Raw genomic sequence first — 14,424 nt, 5'->3', positions numbered from 1 at the left:
TACCTCAAAATACTAAGAGCCATCTGTGACAAACAGCCAACATCATACTGCATGGGCAAAAGCTGGAGACATCTTCCTTGAAAACTGGCACAAGACAGGATACCCTCTCTCACCACTCTTCAACATAATATTGGAAGCCCTAGCCAGAGCAATCAGGTAAAAGAAATAAAGAGCATCCAAAGAGGAAGGGAAGAAGTAAAACGATCTCTGTTTGCAGATAGCACGGTTCTATATCTAAAAAACCCCATAGTCTCAGCTCAAAAGCTTCTTTAGCTAATGAACAACTTTAGCAAGTTTCAGGATGCAAAATCAGTTTACAAAAATCAGCAGCATTCCTATACACCAACAACAGCCAAGCCAAGAGCCAAATCAGGAAGGCAATCCCTTTCACAATTGCCATAAAAATAATAAAATACCTAAGAATACAGCTAACCGGAGAGGTGAATGATCTCTACAATAAGAATTACAAAACAATGCTCAAAGAAATCAGAGAAGATGCAAGCAAATGGAAAAACATCCCATGCTCATGGATAAAAATAATATCATTAAAATGGGCGTACTTCCCAAACCAAATAACCGATTCAATGCTATTCCTACCTAATTACCAAGGATATTCTTCAGAGAACTATTTTTAAAAATCAATTTTAAAATTCATATGGAAGACAAAAAGATCTCAAGTAGCCAAGGCAATCCTACACAAAAAGAACAAAGCTGGAGGCATTATGTTACCCAACTTCAAACTATACTACAGTGCTGCAGTAACCAAAATGGCTTGGTACTAGTACAAAAACAGGCACATAGACCAATGGAACAGGATAGAGAGCTCCAAAATAAGGCTGCACACCTGGGACCATCTGATCTTCAACAAAGCTGACAAAAGCAATGGGAAAAAGACTCCCTATTCAATAAATGGTGCTGGGTTAATAAACTGGCTATCCATATAAAGAAGATTGAAGCTGAACCCCTTTCTTACACCATATACAAAAATTAACCAAGATGGATTAAAGACTGAAATGTTAAACCCAAAACTATAAACATTCTGGAAGACAACCTAGGCAATACCATCCTGGATATAGGAATGGGCAAAGATTTAATGACAAAAACACCAAAAGCAATCATGACAAACGTGACAGTTGACAAATGGGATCTAATTAAACTACAGAGTTTCTGCACAGCAAAAGAAACCATCAACAGAGTAAATAGATAACCTACAGGGTGGAGAAAATATTTGCAAACTATGAGTCTGACAAAGGTCTAATATCCAACATCTATAAGGAACTTAAACAAATTTACAAGAGAAAAACAACCCCATTTAAAAAGTGGACAAATGACATGAATGGACACTTCAAAATAAGACATACATGTGGCCAACAATCATATTTTAAAAAGCTAAATATCACTGATCATTAGAGAAGTGTAAATCAAAACCACAATGAGATAACATCTCATACCAGTTAAAATGGCTATTACTAAAAAGCCAAAAAATTACAAATGCTGGCAAGGTTGTGGAGAAGAAAGAACATTTATACACGGTTGGTGAAAGTGTAAATTAGTTCAACTATTGTGGAAAGCAGTATGGTGATTCTTCAAAGAGCTAAAAGCAAAACTACCATTCAAATCAGCAATCCCATTACTGGGTATATACCCAGAGGAATATAAATCATTCTACTGTGAAGACATATGCATTCAAATATTCACTGCAACTCTACTCACAATAGCAAAGACATGGAATCAACCTAAATGCTCAGCAATGACAGATTGGATAAAGAAAATGTGGTACATATACACCATGGAATACTATGCCGCCATAGAAAAGTATAAATATAAGTATAAAGTATAAATATAAAGTATAAAGTATATTTTTCCTTATGAAAAATATTTAATTTTATCAAATGCTTTTTCTGAATCTATTGATATGATAATATGGCTTTTGTCCTTCATTCCGTTAATGTGATATATCACATTATAGATTTATAGATTTGTGAATATTGAACCATCTTTGTATTCCTGGAATAAACTCCACTTGATTGTGGTGAGCGATCCATTTAATATACTGTTACATTTGATTTCATGGTATTTTGTTGAGGATTTTTGCATCTATGTTCATCAGGGATATTAGCTTACAGTTTTCTTTTCTTGTAGTGTCTTTATCTGGATTTGGTTTCAGAGTAACGCTGACCCTATAAAATCAGTTTGGAAGTGTTCCTTCTTCTTTAATTTTTTTTGAAGAGTTTGAGAAGAATTGGTACTATTTCTTTACATACTTTGTAGAATTTAGTAATGAAGCCATCAGGTCCTGGGCTTTTCTTTGGTGGGAGACTTTTTCTTACTACTTTCATCACCTTACTTATTATTGGTCTTTTCAGATTTTATATTTCTGCATGTTTCAGTCTTGGTAGGTTGTATGTGTCTAGGAATTTATTCACTTCTGGTGGGTTATTAAATTTGATGGCCTATAATTGTTCATAGTAGTCTCATAATCCTTTGTATTTCAATTGTAATGTAATGTATTTCAGGTATTCCAACTCATTTCTGATTTTGTCTTCTTGCTTTTTTTCTTAGTCTAGCTAAGGGTTTGTCAATTTGTTTATCTTTTCAAGAAACAAATGTAGTTTATTTGATCTTTCTATTGTTTGTCTTGTTTCTATTTTATTTATTTCAGCTCTGATCTTTATTATTTCCTTCTTTCTACTACTCTAGGCTTAGTTTTTCTTATCTTTTTAGTTCCTTGAGGTATAACACTACGTTGTTTTTTTGAGATCTTTATCTGTGGTGTAGGCATTTATTGCTATAAACTTTTCTTTTAGAACTGCTTTTTCATTAGTGCGCAATAGAGTATTATTTAGAAAAAGAACTGCTTTTCCTGCATTTCTTATATTTTGATATATTTTGTTTCCACTTTAATTTGTCTGAAGATATTTTTTAGTTTTCCTTTAAATTTATTCATTGATCCATTGGTTGTTAGCATGCTGTTTAATTTCCATGAAATATGTAGAAATTCCCAAAATTCCTTCTGTTATTGATTTCTAGTTTCATACCATTTTGGCTGGAAAAGATAATTGAAATAATTTTAATCCTTTTGTATTTGTTATTTCTTGTTTTGTGAACACACGATCTATATTGGAGAATATTCTATGTGCACTTGAAAAGAATGTATATTATGCTGCTTTTGGATGAAATTTTCTGTATATGTCTGTTAGGTCCCTTTGGTCTAAAGTGTAGTTTAAGTCTGATGTTTCCTTATTGATTTTCTGTCTGGATAATCTGTCCATTGTTGAAGCTGCGGTAGAGAAGTCCTTTACTATTTTTGTATTGCAATCTATATCTTCCTTCAGATCTATTCATATTTGCTCCATTCATCTAAGTGCTCAGATGTTGGTTGCGTATGTATTCACAATTGTTATATCTTCTTGATGAATTGATTCCCTGATGGTTACATAGCAATTTTGTCTCTTTTTGAAGTTTTGACTTAAAGTTTATTTTATCTGATATAAGTATAGGCACTCCTGCTCTCTTGGTTTTTATTTACATGGTTTATCTTTTTTCATCCTTTCACTTTCTTTCCATATGACTTTCAGTTATAAAGTTGAAGTGAGTCTCTCTTAGCAGCATACAGTTGGGTCACTTAAAAAAATCATTTATTCACTCTCTCTTTTGATTGAAGAATTTAATCTATTTACATTCAAGATAATTATTGATAAGTAAGAAGTTAGTACTATCATTTTATTATTATTTTCTGGTTGTTCTGTAGATTCTTTGTTCCTTTCTTCCTCTCTTGCTATCTTTTTTAGTGGTTAGGTGATTTTCTTTACAGCATACATTGATTCTTTTTCTTTTTTTTTTCTTTTTTTTGAGACAGGGCCTCATTCTGTCCCCCAAGCTGGAGTTCAGTGTCATGATCATGGCTCACTGCAGCCTCGACTTCCCAGACTGAGATCATGGCTCACAGCAGCCTCAACTTCCCAGACTCAGGTGAGTCTCCCACCTCAGCCTCCTGAGTAGCTGGGACTACAGGTGGGTGCCACCACACCTGTGTAATTTTTGTATTTTTTGCAGAGACAGTGCTTCATTATGTTTCTCAGGCAGTCAATAACTCCTGGGCTCAAGGGATCCAGGCCACCACGGCCTCCCAAAGTGTTGGGATTACAGGGTGAGCCACTGTGCCTCGCTGATTCCTTACTTTTTATCTTTTGTGTTAGTAATATAGGTTTTTGCTTTGTGGTTTTCCTAAGGCTTATATAAAATATCTTACACCGATTATGCTATTTTAACTGGATAGCAACTTATCTTTGATCACATTAAAAAACTCTAATCTTTTACTGCCCCTCTCCCACATGTTGTTGTTGATATTGCTGTTTACATCTTTTTGTATTGTGTAGTCCTTAAATTATTGCAGTGATGATATTGCTATTATTATTTTTAATAATTTTATCTTTTAACTTTTATACTAAAGATATAGGTGATTCACACACCACCATGATAGTATTAGGGCATTTTGAATTCTATTGTGTTCTCACTTTCACCAGTTTTTTTATACTTTCATATGTTTTTATGTTACTAGTGTCCTTTTCCTTTAGCTTGAATAACTCTCTTTAGCATTTTTTTGTAACACAGGTCTGGTGATGATAAACTCCCTCAGCTTTTGTTTGTCTGGGAAAGCCATTATCTCTTCTTTGTTTCTGAAGCACAGTTTGCCAGGTACAGTATTCTTGTTTGGCAAATTTTCACGTTCAGCACTTTAAATATATCATCCCACTCTTTCCTGGCCTGTAATTGGAACTCCTTATCTGTTATATGCTTCTTTTCTCTTGCTTTCAAAATTCTCTTTAACTTTTGACAGTTTGATTATATCTTGGTGTCATCTTGTTTGAATTGAATCTGGGGAGACCTTTGGCCTTCCCATACTTGGATATTTAAAAATCGAAGCTATTTTTTTTTTTTTTGATATGGAGTTTCGCTTTTGTCACCCAGGCTGGAGTGCAATGGCATGATCTTGGCTCACTGCAACCTCCACCTCCCAGGTTCAAGCGATTCTCCTGCGTCAGCCTCCTGAGTAGCTGGGATTACAGGCATGTGCCACCACGCCAGGCTAATTTTTGTATTTTTAGTAGAGACGGGGTTTTACCACATTGGACAGGCTGGTCTCAAACTCCTGACCTCAGGTGTTCTGCCCACCTCAGCCTCCCGAAGTGCTGGGATTACAGGCATGAGCCACTGTGCCCAGCCCAACCATTTTTTAATAACTGAAGACGTTTGAAATCAAGGACAACACAAAGCAAAGGCACAGTTGTTTTGTTTCAGTGATGATTAACTTCCATGAGGTACTCTTTATGAAAATATGAAACATTTTCCCACATGAAAAGTGAAAGTTATTTAACATGTTGAGTGATACAGTTGAATATGATAGCAAGAAGGTATACTCTGGACAACTTAAAAGCGGGTTCCCATTGGGAGGGCTTTCCTGGCCTGGGTGAGTGATGTGACCTAGATACATGACCTAGGAGGACAGGAGGCTGCAAGTTGGACTTACAGATGGACCTCTGCATAGGGCAAACTATCACAGGCAACACTCAGTGGGAGTGTGTGGTTCCTGAGAAGGTTAGTGTCTGTATAAAGGATATATATCTTTAGGATGTTTCTAGAAAACTGGAGAGAAAGATTTACTAAAATAAACCCAGGTTCTTAATTTCGGTTTAAGCATAAATTTCTACAATTTTTCAGGTGCCTTATGAGTTTTTGCAGATATACCCACAGACACTTAAATGAACGAAACAAGGAACAACAAACAGGACACTTGCTACACATGCCGAGGACCCTCACTTTAGGAATATGTAGAAAACAATGTGGCATTTTCAAATGGATAAAAAGCTGTTCATATCTCCCACAATTGACTGAATGTTCTAAGCTTAAATAAACAATTATACAAATAATGACAGTGAAGTCATACAAAACTATTTAATTAATGTATATTCAATTATAAATCCAAAGACAGGAATTTTAATGGTTCAGATGACTCCAGTTTGCCCATCCACTAGCAAGCACACATCTTATATAGGGAAGAAAGTGGGAGACTAGAGCCTGCTGATCCCTCAACTAGTCTTAGGTCTTGCCTGCTGCTCACGTTTATGAGCAGCTTTTCATTCTGAGGGTAATTCTTGAGTTTAAGACACACCTTAGTCTTACAATATACTGCTTCAACACAAGCTATCTTTTTATCTGGTACTCAGCTGAAGAAGCCACCCTAAGAAGTAAGTGTACCCTTGAATTTTACCTTGGGCTCTTTCTCTGGAATCTCATGCCTTGGCCTACCCCATCACAATGAGCTGTGACCCACACTATGTTTTATAAAAAGTGATCTTAGCTGTTGCTTCTATCCTTAGTGTTCATTGTGTATTTTCACTGTAGAAAGTTTCTAAATACTTACATATTTCTGGGCCTTGTGGAATTCTCTGGAGTACTCTTGAGGTATTTCTCATGGCAGGCCAGCTGCAAGAGAGTGGGTAGGGAATGTGAGCCTTGTGGAAGTTATACCCCCAGTGCCTAGCCAGCACAGTGCCTGGCCAGACTAAGTACTTGGCAAGCATTACTTTTTAAATGGATGAATGAATACATTGCTTTCATTCAAAGAGGTTAATGATGACATATTCTTAACACATGAATAATTCTTTAGTGCTTAAATTACCAATAAATGCAAAGAGAATCTGAAAACAAAGATTTTTCTAATTTTTCTGATTGACACTGGTGTTTCAATGCACATTTATGTAATACAGACCTCATCTACATTTCTTACTTCTGATGGAAGCAAGTAAGCCAGTTTAACAAAAATAAACACTGGCATGCAATTAAATTTTTGGATAACCTGCACATCCTTGGAAGCTTCATTTACCTTTCCCTTTTTACTCATTACCTTTTCTTATGCATCTAACACTGACATCCATCTCAGCTACCATCAGCATTTTGGATTTTTCTTACTGATATGAACATTTTTATGCAGTTGTTTTTAGAATTTCAAGAGTCAAGAGTGACCTAAGTAATTACTAGGTGTTTTAACCCCTAGTGTGTATTTTTGCATAATTTAAAGATTCCAAGTCATTGAATTTTGCTAGTATTTTTTCATTTGCTTCATTAAATCAATTATACCTCTTGTAAAAAGTAAACTTTGTTTTCCTTAGAGCCCTGGAAACCAACAGGTATACCCACATTGCAGCCACTTATTTCTTTCTTACTGAAAGAATCCTAAGAGACAATAATAATTATTCTCATAACAAATTTTAAATAATAATAATATAACAACAATAATTATACATTTATCTTTTCCAATAATAATAATTACACAATAATAATAATTATATAGACCTTATAACAGTAATAAATATACATATTTGGATGCACAAATCAGATGTATTCAGAATTGGGAATACCCTTCAGTTTTACTACAATTCTACAAATTACCTATATCTAAATGGATAAAGATAAATTCTAAATAAATTTCATAGTGATGAGCTCAAAAAGTAAACCCTTTCTATGTTTTTATTTTAAGTGGAAAGTAATATGGCAAAAAAAGGTGGGAAGATGAGGAGAGAGGAGGAGGAGCTGGAAGAGAGGAAGAGAGGAAGGAAGAGGTAGAGGAAGGAAGAGAGAAGAAGGGTAGTCATTTATTCCTGAAGACAATAATGGTGGTAAAAATTCATAGCAATGGCAACAAACACATGGAGCCCTGTCCTAAGTATGTCACATCTATTGATTTGCATATCTTTCACCACAATCTCATGAGGTAGAGAGTATTATTACTCCCATTTTACAGATCAGGAAGCTGAGTCAGGAAGTTGGGATCACTATTTGTACTCTCTAGCCTCACAAAGTTAGGAAGCATTAACAACAACAACAACAAAAAAAAAAGTTTACTATTTCCAAACTTTAAACTTACTAAAATCAGTGAAGATTTTTTTTTCTCACCTGAGCTGGGCCTTGCTATTTCTAGGGCTTGCGGAGCTGATCTGTATTTCTTTGTCTTGCTTTTCTCTCAGGATCCTTTCAGCAAGCAAGAGGTACGTGGCTGTGGTTTGGGTACACTTGTTGGTTTCTAGAGCTCTGAGGAAAACAAGGCTTGCTTTGTACAAGAAGCAAAATTGATTTAAACATGCAAACAAAAAAGTATAAGCAAATGAAATTCAATGACCTGAAATCTTTAAGTTATGCAAAAATGCAAACTAGGAAACTAAAACACCTAGTGGTTATTTAGGTCACCCGTGAAATTCTGAATAATAAAAAATAAAAATGAGGTAATTATTCAGAGGGCTTCATAAGGTTGCAGAGTGAAGTCACTGCCCTATAGGGTTAGCAAGCATGGTACCCAACCTATCCTCAGGTGTCACTGTCTTAAAACCTATGTGATCCTGGGCAGGCTACTTACCCTCTCTGTGTTTTGATTTCTTCATCTTTAAAAGGGGAATAATAATAACACCTACTACATTAGGGTTCTCTAGAGGGACAGAACTAATAGATGTATATATAAAGGGGAGTTCATTAAGGAGTATTGACTCACATAATCACAAGGTGAGGTGCCACAGTAGGCCGTGTGCAAGCTAAGGAGCAAGGAAGCCAGTCTGAATACCAAAGCTGAAGAACTTGAAGTCTGATATTCGATGGCAGGAAGCATTCAGCATGAGGGAAAGATGTAGGCCGGAAGACTAAACCAGTCTAGTCTTCCCACGTTCTTCTGCCTGCTTTAATACTGGCCTCACTGGCAGCTGATTAGAATGTGCTCACCCAGATTGAGTGTGGGTCTGCCTTTCCCAGTCCACTGACTCAAATGTTAATCTCCTTTGACAACACCGTCACAGACACACCCAGGAACAATACTCTGCATCCTTCACTCCAATCAAGTTGGCAATATTAACCATCACAAGTCCTCCCCTTGTCAACTTGAACCCATATACATCTCCTGAAACCATACATAATCTTCAAACAAAGACAATAATAAGGTCATAATTACACCTAACATAATGCAACTATTCTTCGTACAACTGGAAATGCACCAATCCCCAACCCAAATGCTATTACATAAAATTAACAACGCTTAAATGCTAATATAAAGTCAATAAATCTTATATGATGAAGAAAAAAGGAAATAAAATATTTTCTTAGTACAAGTGTATAAATGCACAAACATGTTCTTAACAAAATAAGGAGGAAATACTCATGACAATTATCGTCCTCATTTCTGCAACTGGTCACATGGTCGTAGCTGGCATCGATGACTGCCTTATTCTACTACCCATTCTGTATTCCCTTTGACTTCAGCAAGCACCTCAGCAGGTCGTGGTTTTTTACCTGGTGGAGTGACCCAAACCTTCATTCCTGAGGGGTCTGGAACCCATTTGCAGTTCTGCCTGAATAGGGCTGTTGCAGTTTCCCAATGACCCTCATCACAGGGCATGGTAAAACTAAGAGATGCCCTAACTCCTGTATTCCACACATACTCTTCCTTAGCTTCACTGTGGTGTAGTAGACTGATTTCATCTTGATAGTCTGGGAAAATCACCCCAACCAACACTGTAACTCCCTTCTTAGCCTGTTGACTTAGGTAGGAAAAGTGTCCAGGTGGCAATCTTAACTTCCAGTTAAATTGAATCGTTATTGTTTCCCCTGTTGGCAGCATTCCTCCCTCTGGAACTGAGACCTCTAGGCCAGCAGAATATAATGTCATGGGAACAGGAAACAAAAATTTTGCTAGTGTGTCATTAGAGGTGATGGAGAGTGGTGCCACTTCCACTTCCACCCCTTGATTTCTGGACCTGTGAATCCTGGCTATGGGAGAAACAGTACCATATATTGGATGCTGATTCAGAGCATACACAGCCCTCTGGATAACTTTGCCCCAGCCCTGCAAAGTATTGTCACATAGTTGGTGTTGTAAGTGTGACTTCAAAAGGGCATTCCACCTGCTTCAGGATGATGGGGAACATGGTAAGACCAGTGAATTCCATGAGTATGAGCACAGTGCCACACTTCTTTAGCCGTAAAGTGAGTGCCGTGGTCAGAGGCAATGCTGTGTGGAACACCATGATGGTGGATGGTGGATAAGGCATTCTGTGAGTCCATGAGTGGAAGTCTTGGCAGAAGCATTGTACACAGGATAGGCAAACCCATATCCAGAGTAAGTGTCTATTCCAGTGAGGACAAATTGCTGTCCTTTCCATGATGGAAGAGGCCCAATATAATGAACCTGCCACCAACTAGCTGGCTGATCACCCCAAGGAATGGTGCCATATCAAGGGCTCCGTGTTGGTCTCTGCTGCTGGCAAATTGGGCACTCAGCAGTGGCCGTAGCCAGGTCAGCCTCGGTGAGTGGAAGTCTATGTTGCTGAGCTCATGTGTAACTTCCATCCCTGCCACCATGGCCACTTTGTTCATGGGCCCATTGGGCAATTACAGGGGTGGCTGGGGATAGAGGCTGAGTGGTGTCCACAGAATGAGTCATCCTATCCACTTGATTATTAAAATCCTCCTCTGCTGAGGTGGCCCGTTGGTGAACAATCACATGGGATACAAATGTCACAGTTTTTGACCACTCAGAGAGGTCCATCCACATACCTATTTCCCAAATTTCTTTGTCACTAATTTTCCAGTCATATTTCTTGCAAGTCACTAACCATCCAGCCAAACCATTGGCTACAGTATATAATTTCACGTCTGGCCATTTTTCCTTCCACGCAAAGTGCACAGCCAGGTGCACTGCTCAAAGTTCTGCCCACTGGGAAGATTTTCCTTCACCACTGTCATTCAGGGATGTCCTAGAAAGAGGTTGTATTGCTGCAGCTGTCCACTTTTGGGTGGTGCCTGCATGTCATGCAGAACCATCTGTGAACCAGGCACTAGTCTTCTCTTTCTCTGTCAACTGATCATAAAGAACTCCCCATGAGACCAACAGTGCAGGCTGAGGGAGAGAAGGCAGGGTTGCAGGAGTGGAGTACATAAGCATTTGAGCCACTTCCTCATGTAACTTACGTGTGCTTTCAAGACCTGCTCAAGCCCAATTACGTATACACCACTTCCATTTGATGATGGAATGCTGCTGTGCGTGCCCCACTTTATGGCTACATGGGTCAGAAAGCACCCAGTTCATGATAGACAGTTCAGGTTGCATGGTAACTTGATGACCCATAGTCAAATGTTCAGTTTCCACCAAAACCCAGTGACAGGCCAAGAGCTGTCTCTCAAAAGGAGAGTAGTTATCTGAAAAAGATAGCAGAGCCTTGCTCCACAATCCTAGAGGCCTCCATTGTGATTCACTTATGAGGGCCTGCCAAAGGCTCCCAACAACATTCCTGTCTGCCACTGTGCCTCAAGCACCATTGGATCTGCTGGGTCATATGGCCCAAATGGCAGAAAAGCTTGCACAGCAGCCTGGACCTGTTGCAGAGCCTTCTCCTGTTCTGGACCTCACTCAAAAGTGGCAGCCTTTTGGGTCATTCAATAAATGAGCCAGAATAACACACCCAAATGAGGAATATGTTGTCTTCAAAATCTAAATAGGCCCATTAGGTGTTATGCCTCTTTCCTTGTTGTAGAAGGGGCCAAATGCAGAACTTATCCTTCACCTTAGAAGGAATATCTCGACAGGCCCCAACCACTGAACTCCTAGAACTTTTACTGAGGTAGAAGGTCCCTGAATTTTAGTCAGATTCATTTCCCATCCTCTGGCATACAAATGTCCCACCAACAAATCCAGCGTGTTTGCTATTTCTTGCTCACTGGGTCCAATCAGCATAATGTCATCAATGTAACAGACCAGTTTGATATCTTGGGGAAGGGAAAAGTGATCAAGATCTCTCCAAACAAGATTATGACACAAAGCTGGAGAGTTGATATACCCCAAAGATAGGATATTGCTGGCCTTGCTAGCTGAAGGCAAATTGCTTCTGGTGGGCCTTATGGACAGGAATGGAGAAAAAGGCATTTGCCAAATCAATGGCTGCATACCAGGTACCAAGAGATGTGTTAATTTGCTCAAGCAATGAAACCATTTCTGGTACAGTAGCTGCAATCAGAGTCACCACTTGGTTAAGCTTATGATAATCCACTGTCATTCTCCAAGATCCATCTGTCCTCTTCACAGGCCAAATAAGAGAGTTGAACTGGGATGTAGTGGGAATCACCAACCCTGCATCTTTCAAGTTTTTGATGGTGGCACTAATCTCTACAATCCCTCCAGGGATGTGATATTGTTTTTGATTTACTATTTTTCTAGGTAGAGGCAGCTCTAATGGCTTCCATTTGGTCTTTCCCACCATAATAGCCCTCACCCTACCAGTCAGGGAGCCACTGTGGGGGTTCTGCCAGATGCAAAGTATGTCTATGCCAATTATGCATTCCAGCACTGGGGAAATGACCACAGGATGAGTCCAGGGACCCACTGGACCCACTGTAAGTCAGACAAAAGCTAAAACTCCATTAATTACCTGATCTCCATAAGCCTCTACTTTTACTGGAAGGCCACAATGATGTTTTAGGTCCCTGAAATCAGTGTCAGCTCAGAGCCAGTGTCCAGTAGTCCTCAAAATGTCTGATCATTTCCCTTTCCCCAGTGCATAGTTATCCTGGTAAAAGGCCAGAGGTCTCCTTGGGGAAGGATGGGAGAAAGATTAACAGCATAAATTGTTGGTAGTGTAGTGGGGTCATTCCTCAAGGGGACCTGGCCTCCTCTTCATTGAAGGGGTTCTAGGTCTGTAAACTGGTTCAAGTCTGGAAATTGATTGAGGGGCTGTGATTCTGTTTATATAATTCAAATTAGTCTTTTGTCCACTCAGCCTGGAAGTTTTCTGCTTATATAAATTAAGTAAGAATGCAGTGGGCTTCCTATCAATTTCACTTTTAGGAACACTGTGATTAATTAGCCAATGCCAGAGCTCTACATGAGTCAGACTATTCTGATGGCTGCTTTGCCTCTGCTGTCCATTATGGTAGCTATGCCCACCTTGCCTTTGATGGTTGAGTGCCGCCACTTGGCTCGTGCCACCTCGGGATCCAATTATTCCCATTGCATTTAAATTTTGTAGTTGAGTGACTGCGGTTCCCACTGTTAGATCTGGCATACAGAGAAGAGCAATCACAGAGCTCTTCAAGGATGCAGATGCTGCCCTCACGAATCTGTTTTGCAAAGTATTAGTGAAGGGTATGTCTTCTGGACCCTCCCAGCTTGGATGAGTAGGTCTAAAGTGACTAATCCACTCCAGCATCCCAATCTTCCTAAGCCTTTTGATCCCTCCCTGTACATTACACCAAGGGAGATTAGGCATTTCCAGCTCACCCACAGTGGGCGATCTTTTAACCCATATTTCAGCTAACCAAGCAAACCAACAATTAGAACCTTTTTAACTTCCTGAGCTGCAACATTAAATGCATAATCCCTGTGTAGTGGGCCCTAATCAATAAATTCAGCCTGATCAACCTCTATGTTTCTTCCAACATTATCCCACACCTTTAATAGCCATTCCCCTGCCTGTTCTCCAGATTTCTGCTTATATAAATTAGAAAACTCAAGTAGTTCTTTTGGAATGTAGCACACCTCCTTGTGGGTCACACTATGAACCTCACCTCTAGGGGCCTGCTTCTAGTTATAGGTTGGGAGTGGTTCCTGAGGAGAATAAACATTGTCTTGCCTCACAACTGCCTCAGGGGAGGCCATCACTGTTGCCTCAGGCAGCACAGGCTTTATCTTCTCAGACAAAGGTGGAAAAGCTGATGGCAGCGTGGGTCAGGGAGGGATGTTGCCCCCACTGGGGATGGGGAAGTTGTTTCTTCTGGCAAAAAAAGGCTCATCGGAATTTACAAATTCAGTGTCCCCAGCTTCATCAGGAATGCTGATAGAAATAACTATATTATAGATTCACAAAAACCTTTTTATTCCTGTCAGACTTTCAAATTCTTGATAAGCTGTTTCACAACCCTAGGTAGTTGTAAGCTAAATAGCATTAAATATGCATATTAAAGGAAATAACTCAGGTGAAAATCAAATAGCAAATTTTACATCATAAGGTACAGAGAAAAGTCTGGTGTGCTAGAGGGAGATTAAAAATGAATGTCAAATCAAACATAAAATTACAAAAATCTATCATGGGATTGTATGAGAAAACCAATCGTATTTAGGTAGGGACTACCTATCTTTTAACTGGATCAATGAGCTCCGGGCAGAGCCCACACTTAATCCTGGGTTTCCAAACCGGGAGAATTATTATGAGGTTAGACAATGTGATGTTTTTACAGTACACTTTAAACAATTTGTTTGAAACAGACATTTCTAAGTGTCTACACTACACTCTTCTTTAAAAACCCAAGAGTAACCTGTTTCAATAACTATTTTAGTCAGTAAATCAGGTAACATAATACAAAAGCAAGCAGTTTAAAGCTGAGATGAACTTA

General features: G+C 38.8%; 1 protein-coding gene and 1 long non-coding RNA gene across 3 annotated transcripts in view; one reads left to right on the top strand and one right to left on the bottom strand.

Annotated features, from left to right (window-relative positions):
• IRGM (immunity related GTPase M) overlaps positions 1 to 14,424 on the bottom strand; it is a 55,882-nt gene that overhangs the window by 16,332 nt on the left and 25,126 nt on the right. Inside the window, exons 3-4 of one of the 2 annotated variants that reach the window (NR_170598.1) lie at positions 7,957 to 8,091; positions 6,425 to 6,486 (exon numbers count right to left, since the gene is read on the bottom strand). Coding sequence is in view for 1 of the 2 variants with exons in the window: in NM_001346557.2 (NP_001333486.1) it covers positions 6,425 to 6,486 (62 nt within the window). In the remaining variant the exon portion in view is untranslated. The remainder of the gene's footprint in view (positions 1 to 6,424; positions 6,487 to 7,956; positions 8,092 to 14,424) is intronic. The other variant, NM_001346557.2, reaches the window with a different exon arrangement.
• On the top strand, positions 3,998 to 5,930 carry LOC124901111 (uncharacterized). The gene is made up of 3 exons (XR_007058998.1): positions 3,998 to 4,150; positions 4,615 to 4,698; positions 5,722 to 5,930. It is a non-coding gene; the product is annotated as an uncharacterized LOC124901111 (long non-coding RNA).

This window comes from Homo sapiens, chromosome 5 (genome assembly GCF_000001405.40).
Source record: "Homo sapiens chromosome 5, GRCh38.p14 Primary Assembly".
In the NCBI taxonomy this organism is placed as follows: Eukaryota; Metazoa; Chordata; class Mammalia; order Primates; family Hominidae; genus Homo; species Homo sapiens.
This window is presented reverse-complemented; position numbering and strand designations above follow the sequence as displayed.